The sequence below is a fragment of the Homo sapiens genome, chromosome 10, assembly GCF_000001405.40.
Source record: "Homo sapiens chromosome 10, GRCh38.p14 Primary Assembly".
Classification (NCBI taxonomy): Eukaryota; Metazoa; Chordata; class Mammalia; order Primates; family Hominidae; genus Homo; species Homo sapiens.
In genome coordinates, this window is record NC_000010.11 from 13,963,983 (window position 1) to 13,977,660 (window position 13,678).

Genomic DNA, 13,678 nt, shown 5'->3' on the forward strand with positions numbered 1-13,678 from the left:
CTGATCATTATAAAACCATGAAACATTCAAGGGCATTCATGCTTGGAGGAAGGTGGGATGTGCCCTGTGACCCTCAACACAGCCAACCCAGAACCAGAGAGGAGAGGACCAGGTGTGTTATCTTGTTGGTGCTTTGTCAACAGGCATTAGAAAAAAAAAAAAAACAGAAACAAAGTCCACAACTCTGATGACTCTGATGACGGACGCGGTTTCTACAAATAGACCAAAGAAAACCAAAACAAAAAACATCAAACAAACAAACAAACAAAAACCAAACCAAACACAATCCCCCTCCCCACTAACAAACGAACAACATCTAACTTAAAAAGAAAAATTTAAAACAGGTTTACATATGCCATACATATGTGTTTTACAACTTTGGGGCCAGAAGCAATTTATGGTAAGTCAGTAATTCAGATTGTTGGTCTTATTTATTTTATTTTTCCTATAGTTTTACTGCACAGCCAGGAGTGGCGTGGAGCTGGAGGCAGGGTGGGGGTGGGTGGGGAGGCAATAGAGAGGACAGAGGTCGATTTGTCATGAAACCAATGAAGCTTAAACTTCAGGGTTCCTCACTTCATGGGATCTTCCAAGTCTCTGGGATGATTCCTAGCAAGATATTCATGCATTCATTGCTTACAAAAGTGAGATATTTTAATTGTCATCAGTTACAACTAATGCCTCTTCTTTTGTTTTTTTTTTTTTTTTGAGACAGAGTTTCGCTCTGTCACCAGGCTGGAGTGCAATGGCGCGATCTCAGCTCACTGCAACCTCTGCCTCCCTGCAACCTCCACCTCCTGGGTTCAAGCGATTCTCCTGCCTCAGCCTCCTGGGTAGCTGGGCCTACAGGTGCCCATCACAGCCAGCTGATTTTTGTATTTTTAGTAGAGATGGGGTTTCACCATGTTGGCCAGGATGGTCTCGATCTCTTGACCTCATGACCTGCCCGCCTCTGCCTCCCAAAGTGCTGGGATTACAGGCGTGAGCCACTGCGCCTGGCCAACTAATGCCTCTTCCTATGTTGATTTCCCCTCTGTTAAATTTCCTCTTTTGCTCAGGTAACATTGGAATGACCACTGGGCATTTTTTTTTTTTTTTTGAATTCAGCTAAGGAGAAGAATGGTCAGGATATATTCAGTTTGGGAGAGAGGAATATATTTGAGGTCCACAGACATTGCCATCTGTAATCAAGTTACGGTGAGCTGCACCAGCCTAGAAATGGCTTCCAGCAAGAACCCTCACCCTTAAATGCCGACTCGCCCACCTTGTTCATGAAGGACTAGAGATCTTATCAAGATATGGCTGCATCTTATGGCACCAGGCTGTGAAGGTATGTGGCTAGCAGAAGAGAAAGAAGGTTTAAAATGCCAACAGCCAGAAACCCATCTGTGGAGGAATCTCCCAATCCTCAGACTGATAAGATAATAAGTAGAGAGTTCCATTCTCATACCTCCTGGACACAGGTGGCAGTGTTCCCACTGTCAGGAGTATATTTCATATATAGGACACACAATTACAAAAGCACCATATAATGTTTTCTTTATTGAAGGAACTAGAATATAATTGGATTTTCCTGCAATCCCTGTGTTTAGAAGGCACATATCTGTAATCTTACTCTCAACAGCATGTTCTGCAATAGATCATATAAAAAAGAAACCTGTAAGAAGTCTTCCCAAATTCTTCAATAATTCTAAAAATCTGCACAGTATTTCCAATGACAAGTTATGAATTGGAAATAAACCTTTCTTTCTTTCAGTAATGAAAGGACAAGTTTTGATCAGCCATACCATGCGAAAGACAGACTTAGCTTTCTCTTCTCTCTCTGTAGAAAATGTTATAAAATCATTATCTTGTGAAGAAGAGATCAAAGACCAGGCAACCAAAATAGGTAGGAAGAAGAGGATAATAGGGATGTTGGCAGGTTAATTAATAAACACACATTCCTTTTCTGAATTTTGTGATGTTTCTAATAGTTGTTGGCTTTCCTACATTTGTAACTTGTGATTTTTCCTTTCACATGTAAGTTTGTATAACTTTTTTTTTTGAGACAGAGTTTCACTCTTGTTGCCCAGATTGGAGTGCAGTGGTGCCATCTTGGCTCACTGCGACCTCTCGAACTCCCGACCTCCCGGGTTCAAGCGATTCTCCTGCCTCAGCCTCCTCAGTAGCTGGGATTACAGGTGCCCGCCATCGTACCTGGCTAATTTTTTTTGTATTTTTAGTAGAGACAGGGTTTCACCATGTTGGCCAAGCTGGTCTCGAACTCCTGACCTCAGGTGATCTGCCTGTCTTGGCCTCCCAAAGTGTAAGTTTGTATAATTTTTAATGATTTTCCTTTTAAGTCTCCCCCACCCCCAATTATATTAAGTTGGTGCAAAAGCAATGGCGGTTTTTGCTGTAATTAAAAGTAATGGCAAACCCGCAATTACTTTTGCACTAACCTAATAGAAGCCGCAGGCCCTGCCATTAACCCTGGTTTGGGAGGGTAACGTGATAAAGAAGTCATATGTAAAAGGCACTTGGAAAAACAAAAGTCCCCGTTGAGAAGAGACTGGAGATGTGCAGGGGGCTGCCACTCACACACAGCCATGGTTCTGGGAGTGAGATGGAAACCCGGGTGGGACAGAAGTTTCCCTCCAGGGCTGGGGCCGAGTGCTGTTTAGAGAAGGGGACTGCTGTGCTGAGTGGCACATCACAGCCACATCCTGCCTCTGGGTGTGACCTGGAGTGATCACATTCTTTCTCGTGATAATAAAAACAGAAGTCATTATATGAAAAATACACTTGCACACGCATGTTTATAGCAGCACAATTTGCAATTGCAAAAATGCGGAACCAACCCAAATGCCCATCAATCAATGAGTGGATAAAGAGATTGTGGTATATACATAGGATGGAATATTGCTTAGCCATAAAAAGGAATGAATTAATGGCATTCTCAGCGATCTGGATGAGATTGGAGACTATTATTCTAAGTGAAGTAACTCTGGAATGGAAAACCAAACACTGTATATTCTCACTCACAAGTGGGAGCTAAGCTATGAGGATGCACAGGCGTAAGAATGACACAACGGGCCGGGCGCGGTGGCTCACGCCTGTAATCCCAGCACTTCGGAGGCCGAGGCGGGCAGATCACGAGGTCAGGAAATTGAGACCATCCTGGCTAACACGGTGAAACCCTGTCTCTACTAAAAATACAAAAAAATTAGCCAGGCTTGGTGGCGGGCGCCTGTAGTCCCAGCTGCTGGGGAGGCTGAGGCAGGGGAATGGCGTGAACCCGGGAGGCGGAGCTTGCGGTGAGCTGAGATCGCGCCACTGCACTCCAGCCTGGGCGACAGAGCGAGACTCCGTCTCAAAGAAAAAAAAAAAGAATGACACAATGGACTTTGGGGACTCGGGGAAAGGGTGGGAAGTAGGTGAAGGATAAAAGACTACAAATTGGGTGCAGTGTATACTGCTTGGGTGATAGGTGCAACAAAATCTCACAAACCACCGGTGCAGAACTTACTCATGTAACTAACACCACCTGTTCCCCAATAACCTATGGAAATAAGAAATTTTAAAAAAACAAAAACAAAAACAAAAAGCAGCTAACATGGATTGGTTGCCTCGGATGTGCCAAGCCATGGGCTTAATTTGAATGATCTGAGTCAGTCCTCATGGTCGTCTTGTCAAGTCATTGCCACACCCTCATTTGTCAGGTGCCACATACAACTTTTTGTCCTCTGTCATTAGTTCCTGCTAATATCAGAAATCACGTGTTAAGAATACAGATTGTGTAGGCTGAGCGCAGTGGTTCACAGCTATAATGCCAGCACTCTGGGAGGATGGGGCAGGCAGATGGCGTGAGCCCAGGAGTTTGAGACCAGTCTGGACGACATGGCGAAACCCCATCTCTACAAAAAATACAAAAATTAGCTGGGCGTGGTGGCGCATGCCTGTGGTCCCAACTACTTGGGAGGCTGAGGTGGAGGATCCCCAGAGCCCAGGAGGTCGGGGCTGCAGTGAGCCATGATTACACCACTGCACTTCAGCGGGGGCGCTTAAGACATTTTATACATATTTAAAGTGGCTCCCCAGTGATCCTGATGCTGCCTTTTGCTATGTGCAGAATGAGGCCCCTTCAGTTCAGTGGCTCCGGGTGGACTGCACATTAGTATCAAAAACCTTTAGACCATCCCAACACCTAAGCCCCGGATCAACTAAATCAGAACCGCTGGGAGTCAGGACTGAGTATGGGTGTGTTTAAAAAGTTCCCTAGGTGAACTCATCCAGAGCCATCAGCCATCGCCTTAGCCAATGAAGACACCGCAAACTACAAAAAAGTACTGCTTAAAATCGCTAATAAATAAATACACTCAAGATGAGTCTTTCCCAAGATCAAAGACAGCTAAAATACAATATTTCAACAAAAACAACATTTCACATTTGTATCTTTCTTAGTCTTTGTGACACACTTTCACATCCATCGCTTATTTTATTTTTTTGAGACGTAGTCTCACTCTTCTCACCCAGGCTGGAGCGCAATGGTGCGATCTCAGCTCACTGCAACCTCCACCTCCTGGGTTCAAGCGATTCTCCCGCCTCAGCCTCCCGAGTACCTGGGATTACAAGCATGTGCCACCATGCCCGGCTAATTTTTTGTATTTTTAGTAGAGATGGGGTTTCTCCATGTTGGTCAGGCTGGTCTTGAACTCATGACCTCAGGTGATCCACCCACCTTGGCCTCCCAAAGTGCTAGGATTACAGGCGTGAGCCACTGCACCTGGCTCCATCACTTATTTAATCCCTACAATGCATGAAGCTATCATTCCCATTCTGTAATGGAGAAAGCAAAGGCTAGGAGTGACTAACAGATTTTTTTTTTGAGGGGGGAGTGAAGTTTTTCTTGAGCAAAGGTAGCTGCTCTCTGCACTTTTCTCAAATCCTCTATTTGTTGAAATGCAGTTCTTGCGTTCTTGGCTCTTTCCTGTGAGACTATGAAGAATGGAAAATGGCCCATGTATTATTACAGATATGTCTTTAAAACGGCCCTGGTTGGCAGTAGAAAGGAGGGCTGGGGAAGGTAAATGCTGACCATGGGTTGGTAATCTTGGACCTCCTGCAGACCACCCCAGCCTGGTCTTGCTCTGGGCCGCCTCTTCTTCTCCCAGGCCCCTCGGCCTGGCTCTGCAGGCTGCTAACCAGTCCTTGTTCACTGAGCCTCCCAGGTTGGTGAATTGGTTTAGACTTGCCATCCTGGCTGCCTTCCAGACCCACCCATGGGGATTACCTCCCAGCTGCCTGGGTTGGACATATCTGCCCCCAAGGGCCTGGCTTGGCCAGAGACCACAGACAAGCACGAGGCGTGGTTAGCCTTTGAGCCCCAAACGCCTATGATGGGGCCAGGCACCTATCTGCTGCTGAGGACCTGTCTGCAGAGTTGAACTGAGTCATGCTTGAGCAGGAATGTATTCTTTTTCCAGGCCCGGTGGCCAATCATTCAGCACTCTCTACAGTATACTTACGACATTAATGGAAATCCTAAAAAATGGCCCCTGAGGCGGGGCTAGCCCACCCTGCTTAGTTGATTTAAAAGACAAAGAGTGCCAGATGTGGTGGCCGACACCTGTTATCCCAGCGCTTTGGGAGGCCGAGGCAGGAGGATCACTTGAGGACAGGAGTTCAAGACTAGCCTGGCCAACGTAGTGAGACCCCCATCTCTACAAAAAAATTCTAAAAAATAGCTGAGCATGGTGACATGGTCCCAGCTATTTGGGAGGCTGAGGTGGGAGGATCATCTGAGCCCAGGGAGGTTGAGGCTGCAATGAGTCGTGATTGCACCACTGCACTGCAGCCTGGGTGACAGAGCAATAACCTGTTCCCTCCCCCACCAAAAAAAGAAAGAGATGAAATGAAAGTGAGAGGTGGAGGCCAGAAGCCAGGGCTTCAAAACTCATTTGTAATCACTGGAAAGACAGAATCATCTTGACTAAGTAATTACCCCCACATACCCAGCTTGGGGACTTTTGACTCTAAATCACGGTTTCAGAAAAGCTTCAAATGGACAAACCAGCCACATTACTGCTTGAATCTCCCAGCTGGGGGATTTTTTTTCCCCCAGGATTCTTTCAGATTCACAGCTTGTCATGGGAAATCTTATGTGAACTTTTCGGATGCTGGTCAAATTTGGAAGGATTTCTCTAAAAGTTTCTTTTATATATGATCTATGACAGACACACTTGATATTTAGAGTGAAGCTTTTAGGTACGTGCCCTTCAAGCACGAGAATTCTAGAAAAGTCTTCAGAAGCCATGTAAAGGGTCTACCCCCCGCCTGCCCAGGGGCAGGTGAAGAAGCAGGAGCAGGGGTCCTGCGGGGCTGTGCCCATCTGTGAAATCAACCCGACACCCTTGGGCACATCTTCCAGGGCGCCTCCCTCCCCTGAAAGTCCAGACATTCCAGGAGGAGGGGTGGAGCGAGGGGACGGGTGGTTTAGCCAGTGCGTTTTATTAAGGAATTATAGACCACCAAATTACACCTAAAAATACAAAGGCCAGCTGTGCATGCTGGGTTACAAGTATTGTCATGAGCCAGCTTACAGAGGGAGGGCCAAAACCACTCAAGTCGACTTAATGAAATAAACTGGGTTACAAACACCCGTGAGAGGAGGAAAAATGAGCGACACCCCCCTTCAAGAGCCAGGCCAAGGGACATTCTTTCACTTGCTATGCTGCCTGCGCCCCCCACTCCCCACGCAATCTGGGTCCTCTCAGGCGGGGCTGGGGCTGTCAGGACTGAAGTCTCCGCGGCCAGCAGGGACGTGGCTTAATGCCACCAAACTGGACTGATAGCTGGAGAAAGCACTCTTGTCTCCCCTTTTTGAAGTGCTCTGCACCCACCGCCAGTTAACTGACTCAGAAGTGCCACTCTCCCTCAGGAAAGTTTCTCTCCTTTTCTCATATTTGGGTTGAGAGGTGTGTGTCTGAATTCAGAGGCCACTATGTAAAGGAAAGGAGGCTCAGTGTTGGTGCCTGAGGATCTTCCCGCCTTGCCTCCTGTCCCACACACCACATTCCCCTTACCAGCTTGTCACCACCCCCAACACACAGGTGCACACACATAGGTACACTCACACACACACACGTGCACACATGCACACACGCACGCACGCGCTCACACACATGCATGCATACTCACAGGCACACACATGCATGCACACGCACGCACACATGCACACACCGCATGCACGCACGGTTTGATAAATCATCCATTGTGAGAGGAGCGTGGATTTGTGGAAAGAACATCCTTTGTCTTTGCAGCCAGGAGAACTTTGGTTGAAATCACCAGGCTCTGTCTGGGTGACTTTGAACAACTTACATCCTTCTCTGAGTTTCAATAACCTCATCTCAAAATGGTGACAATAATAATCAAGATGGTGACATAGGCACTTCCTCGATCCGGTGGCTTTGAAAGCTGAATTAAATCATGTTTACGGTGCACTTCACGTGGCGCACCGTATGGCACGCATGGCACCTAGAAGATGAGGCTCTGTTCATGTTAACTGCTCCCTGTTAAATGTAACATGCTTCAGAGTCCCGAACACATGTGACAATAGCTCATGCCCCCTTCTCCACCATTCACCACCACTTTCCCATGCTTCAAAGAAACGAAAGAGGAGCTTCTGGTCCCACCTGATAGACGGCCCTGGAGATGCACCATGGTTTTAGCAGCAGCTGCAGAACTCGAATGTTCCTCACTTGGCAGGTCCTCAGCGCCCGACAAGTCAGGTTCCAACTCCACGGTGGGTCCTCAGAGCCAAGCAGCCCAGCAGCCATGCCAGCCCCAGACTCTGCCGCCAACCCTCTGGTCCCTGGCCCCACATCCAGGGCTGTGTTCTTTTAGTGACACAAAGTGCCAATGTCAGTAAGATTTAATCAGGCAAGGAAAAAATGCAGTCCAAATAACTCTGATTCCTCTGACTCTCCTCCCCCTACCTACCCTCACCACCACCCTCACTAATCCTCAGAGACTGCTTTCCTTCAAGGATAAGCAAAAGGCTCTTAACTCCCTCCCAAAGTGTTTTCTCCTTGTCTCTGGGGACTCACCAGGGACAAGGTAAAAATAAACCTCAGTGTGCAGATAACGGCACATCCCTGTTTCTCAGTGGACTGAGGCTGGCTCTTTGGCAGATCAAACAGAACTTAGGGAAGACCTCAGACCCAGAAGCACCACCGAGTGTTGGGATCCCCTCCAGGGTGAGAAAGCTAAGAGCAGAGAGCTGCAGCCTTCCCTGCAACATTCCCCAGACATTCCATCCCTTTTCTTAACTCTTTACAACTTGGAGAACCCATGAGTTTCCACAAGGTCAAGCAAAAAGTCCCATTCTGTAGCAGCACTGGAGAAATTGCTATTTCTGTGGGCAATTTGTAAGAAGCCAGGCATTTTCTTTGGAAGCGTCCCAAGTTTAGGTTGGGATTGAAATGGCTGGAAAGAATACTTATCTGATGGATTTCATATCAACATCCAAGATTTGGAGGAAAGCAGGGAAAAGGAGGTAAAGTCAACCTATCCCGTTTTTTTTTTCGCCCCGCATGAGGGGTTACTTCCTATAAACCGTCTTGCTATTTTAATGCATGTTGGGTAAGCTACAGGTAGAAATTAACTCAAGGAAAGTCCTTCAATTAAACGTGTCATAACCATTGGAATTTCATAAGTTGTTTTGATTGTTGATTATTTTAGAATGGCATCTGCATCCTAATTCAATAAATTACATACCAAAAGGTGAGATTCCAAAGCTGGAAGGGAAAGAAGGGGGAGGGGAGAATGCAGCCACGACCTAGCTGTACAATTAAGACAAAGAGCATGTTTAATCTTTAATGTCATTTTGATTGCACAGTCCTGAAAAATCATGGTAAGTCATAAGGCATGTTTGCCTTCTCCACATTCCATTTGTTTATTTATTATCTGTCTCTTCGACCTTAACTAATACCATCAGAAAAGTAGAAATGTAAAATCTACTAATCTACTGGAGCGTCCTGGAGTCCTTTGTAACCTCAGTTTGAATTTGGCTCTGTCATTTTCTGTGTGGCCTCAGACAAATTAATTAACTCCTCTGACTTATTTCTTGATCTGACCGATGGAAATAATACCTACCTCACTAGGTTGTGAGGATTAAATGAGGTCACTTACTTAAAGTGGATAATAAAGACCATGGCATGAGGCTGATATTTTTTCCCCCACTTATGATCTGGTAATTCAAGGACATTATCTACCACTGATAATATGAAACCCTTAGGATAAAAATTTGTGGTTCTCTAAATTATGTTCTTTTAATACGTTTTCTCCTTTTGCTTTGAATTTATGCATTAATTTGTTTAATTAATATAATGCAGCCTTTATTTATTTTTGGGGGAGTTTCTCTATGTTGCCCAGGCTGATCTCAAGCTCCTGGCCTCCTGTGATCATCCTGCCTCAGCCTCCCAAAATGCTGGGATTACAGGCATGAGCTACCTCACCTGGCCCATTTTAATGTAAACTCTTTTTTGGATAGTTTTATCATTTTTCCATGAATAATCACCCTAAGGCAAAACACGGTGCATAATTTTATTCCTGTGTACTATTCCCTTATTTTTGCACCCCAGTAATGAAAAGCAGGTGGGTACTACAGAATCTTGCCTTTCTACAAAAACCCCATCACCAGAAAGTTTTATCTAAGAGGGAAGAGAAGTGAGGGGAGGGGAAGGAAGGTAGGACGATAGGAAGATAAGAAGAAAGGAAGGAAGGGAAGAAGGAAGGAGGAAGGCAGGGAGGGAGGGTGAAAGGGAGGGAGGGTGAAGAGTAAATTAAATTAAAAAGCATACAGTACGCAGAAAATGATGCTTACATTAACATTAGCTAACTGCATTGGTATTTTCATGAAAAAACACATGCAAGATATATTATAGTTAGTTTCAGTGTGTGTGCTCTGAACTAATGCTCTCCAACCTCTGGAGATCTTGGCTGTGAACCAGACTCTTATCCAAAGCATGTAATTATGGACTGGATAGGGACAGTTCTTTTTTTTTTTTTTTTTTTTCTTTCTGGGACAGAGTCTTGCTCAGTCGCCCAGGCTGGAGTGCAGTGGTGCGATTTCGGCTCACTGAAAGCTCCACCTCTGGATAGGGACAGTTCTAAAGGCATTGTTTTATTCTACGACGAAGTAAAGTGACTTTAAAAATTAAAAAAGTGAAATGTATATATTTAGCTTATGGTCTGGGAATCTTTTGAGTATAAAGGTGCTATAATAAGCTCTTTTGAAAAATGACTGAATATAAACAAGAATTCCCGAGAACAGCAAGACCTACTCAAGCTGCCCTGATATCTTTACCATTTGCGGGGATGAGTGGCGTGCTTTAGTGGGGCTTGCTCTGGAGTCTGGAATCGGAGCCTGGTGACACCAGCAGCAGACGCCTGTCTCTGTGCCCATGGAAGCTCGGGGTGACAGTGCCGTTGGAGGATGCTGCCTGATTTCACTGGTCCTGTATCTTCAATCATCTACATGATTCTGCCCTAGCCTTGACTGATTGATTGATTGATTGATGGAGGCGGAGTCTCGCTCTGTCGCCCAGGGTGGAATGCAATGATGCAATCTCAGCTCGCTGCAACCTCCGCCTCTTGGGTTCAAGTGATTCTCCTGCCTCAGCCTCCCGAGTACCTGGGATTACAGGCACCCGCCACCATGCCTGGCTAATTTTTGTATTTTTAGTAGAGATGGGGTTTCACCACGTTGGCCAGGCTAGTCTTGAACTCTTGACCTCAGGTGATCCACCCGCCTCGCTCTCCCAAAGTGCTGGGATTACAGGTGTGAGCCACTGCACCTGGCTCTGCCCTAGCCTTTAAATCGCTAATTCAGAGTTTCACAAGGCAGCTCCCCACGTGGCCTCTGAGAGGCTGTGCGTGCAAGTGGCATGACTGCCATTGAGAACAATGCCCTTGCTTTTCAAAGGGATTTAGAAACCTCAGAGCAATTCACTATAGGTGTGTGTGTGTGTGTCTGTGTGAGTGCATGTGTGTGTCTGTGCGTGTCTGAGTATGCATGTGCGTGTCTCTGAGTCTGTGTGTGTATGTGTGTCCATGTGTGCCTGTGGGTATGTGTGTGTGTGCCTGGCTCTGTGAGTCTCTATGTATGTACCTGTGTGTGTGTGTCTACTGTGTGTCTGTGAGTCTGTCTTTGTGAGTCTCTGTGTCTGTGTGTATGTCTATCATATGTTAATGTGTGTGTGTATGTGTGTGTGTGCCTATCTCTGAGCCTCTATGTATGTGTCTGTGTCTGTGTATATGTCTATCATATGTTAATGTGTGTGTGTATGTGTGTGTGTGCCTATCTCTGAGCCTCTATGTATGTGTCTGTGTCTGTGTGTATGTGTGTGTCTACTGCATATGTCTTTGTCTCTGTGTGTGTGTCTGTGCATATGTGTCTGTGCGTATGTGTGTCTCATGTCTATTCGTGTGTCTGTTTGTCTATTATGTGTCTGTGTGTCATTGTGTGTCTGTGTATGCATCTATGTATGTGTGTACTGTGTCTGTGTGTTTGTGTGGGTCATTGTGTATCTATGTGTGTGTCTGTGTCTGTCTCTGTGAATCTCTGTGTGTGTCTGTCTCGTGTGTGTCTATGTGTGTGTCTATCCATGTGTGTGTGAATCTCTATGTGTGTTTGTGTCTGTGTGTTTTATGGGGGTCATTATCTCTGTGTGTGTCTGTGTGTCTCTGTGAATCTCTCTGAATCTCTATATATGTGTCTGTCTCTTGTGTTTCTATGTGTGTGTGTACACACCTTCATCTTACAGAGGAGGTCCCAGCACAGATGGTGCAAGCAGCCAGCCAGACCTCCTGCACACTGTGACGAAGCTGGAGCAAGACACCAGGGCTCACCAGGTGAACATGTGACCTGGACCGGTCTAACTCCCAACCTCTCTTCATCACTTTCCTTATTCTTTTCTCAAGAATTATAGAAAATAAGCATCTTCTAGGTAGTTTACCACTTAGACAGTTGATCGCAAAACCTAAAGGGTAATGGACGAGGACAGAGTGACCTCTTGGTGTCTAAAGGGTAGGGAATACCATGTTAGACACCAGGAAGACAGAGTAAGGAGCAGTCACTGTCTCACTCCTCCTTCCATGAGACTTTTGCTACTATTAGGGGTGAAAAGAGTCAAGCATTGAGTTAGCTGGCCAGATGGGGTGAGTTGCTGAGTGTTTGTCTATTGTAAGTCCTGGGGAAACATCCCAAGGAGAAGCTGAGGTCTTGGTCCTGGGATTGCACATTGGGGAAGGGAACTTGGGCTGGGAGCCCTAACTCAGTGGCTGACCTGGGAGGGAGGCAGGTGTTGCTGATGCCAGGAGTTCCCCTGCCCAAAGACAGGACAGAAGAGGAGGTGGGACCTTGGCATGGCAGGGAAGACTGCCAGGTACGGACTCCCAGCCCCATCCCCTGCAGCTCCCACCTCCGTCCCACTGGTTAATCATCTTCCCTATCTCGGAGTTTCTGTGTTTTCTATCCCGGCTCCCAGACCCTCGTTCACTGCTTCTGTAAAGACAGAGGAATTTTTTTTTTTTTAAGCAACAAATGCCTTTGCCTGGCTCTGGGAATGTTTTAAGACATAATTACTGCCTTGAAAAGGAATAGGAAAAACTCAGTTGCAAGTAATGTGTAGTGCTATTATGAACAAAATTTGCAAATACATAAATACACAGAAAACAGCATACACGTGGAGAAGTATATTTATAGCAACTAAAGAAATATGTTCAGAAGTGCAATCTAATGTAACCCATCTTAATCATTCAGGGATTATTTATTGCTATCTGTTTGTAAAAACGTCAGCCATAAGATTGGCTGAAGAACTATTCTATCTCAGGTCAAAGTCAGCTACTAGTGCAAATAGCATTTTTAAAAAGACTTTCTTGGATGCATTTTGTTATCTTTTACTGATCTGATCTCAAGGTAAAGGACAATTTCTCCAAGAGCAAAGCCCAGTACAGTTGAGGCCTAATATCAAGAAACTTCAAGGAATTAACGCCTTAGCCTAAGTCACATCTGTTCTCTTGGAAGAACAAAAGAAGATCAATAGCCGATTTATTCCAAAGTGAGAAGGTGATAGGAAAATAAATAAATCCACAAGAGTGAGAGGGAAAGGCAGATATGCACTCAGAAATGCCCATCGGTCGTATTTTCTGGTTTTGTAGAAAGCAGATTTCTTTTGTGCTTTGTGAGCAGTGAGCAGGCGTCCTCTACTTCTGTGTCACGTAAGGACTTTTCCAGGTCTTAACTACTAATCGGTGTTTTAATGCCACATTCCTTTCCTGCCTTCCAACACAAGACTCAAACTGAGGTTTAAATTTACTGCAAATTTCTTTCTTTCCATCCACTGAATGCCGTTAAGCAATCTCCATGTGTAATCAAAATGCTGGGTAGCAGTAGTGTTGGAAGCTTTGTTCTTTAAATGAAGGTGGCCTATCACTCTTTGTCAGTGCTCTTAAAAACGTAAAAATACCTTATTGAGATATAATTGATATACCGTATACTTCAGTCATTTAAAATGTACAATTCAGTGGTTTCTTAGTTTAATCATAGGATTCTACAACCATTGCCACAATCTAATTTTAGAACATTTTCATCCCCCAAAAGAAAACCACACCCATTAGCTGTCATTGTCATTCC

The 13,678-nt window shown here is 45.4% G+C and overlaps 1 protein-coding gene across 3 annotated transcripts in view, besides 1 other annotated feature; it reads right to left on the reverse strand.

Annotated features, from left to right (window-relative positions):
- The window catches only part of FRMD4A (FERM domain containing 4A), a 687,219-nt gene that overhangs the window by 320,277 nt on the left and 353,264 nt on the right, over positions 1-13,678 (reverse strand). Inside the window, exon 1 of one of the 3 annotated variants that reach the window (NM_001318337.2) lies at positions 7,674-7,914. The exons of the other annotated variants lie outside the window; for them this stretch is intronic. Within the exon in view, the coding sequence (NP_001305266.1) occupies positions 7,674-7,817 (144 nt within the window). The 5' untranslated portion in view covers positions 7,818-7,914. Of the gene's footprint in view, positions 1-7,673; positions 7,915-13,678 lie in introns of those variants that run through there. 3 annotated transcript variants of the gene reach the window in all.
- Positions 7,291-8,262: an enhancer, noted in NCBI's record as "H3K27ac-H3K4me1 hESC enhancer chr10:14013273-14014244 (GRCh37/hg19 assembly coordinates)". NCBI's record gives its function as "activates a minimal SCP1, AML or CMV promoter by ChIP-STARR-seq in primed H9 embryonic stem cells {active_cell/tissue: H9 hESC(primed)}" and the evidence as "EXISTENCE:reporter gene assay evidence [ECO:0000049][PMID:30033119]".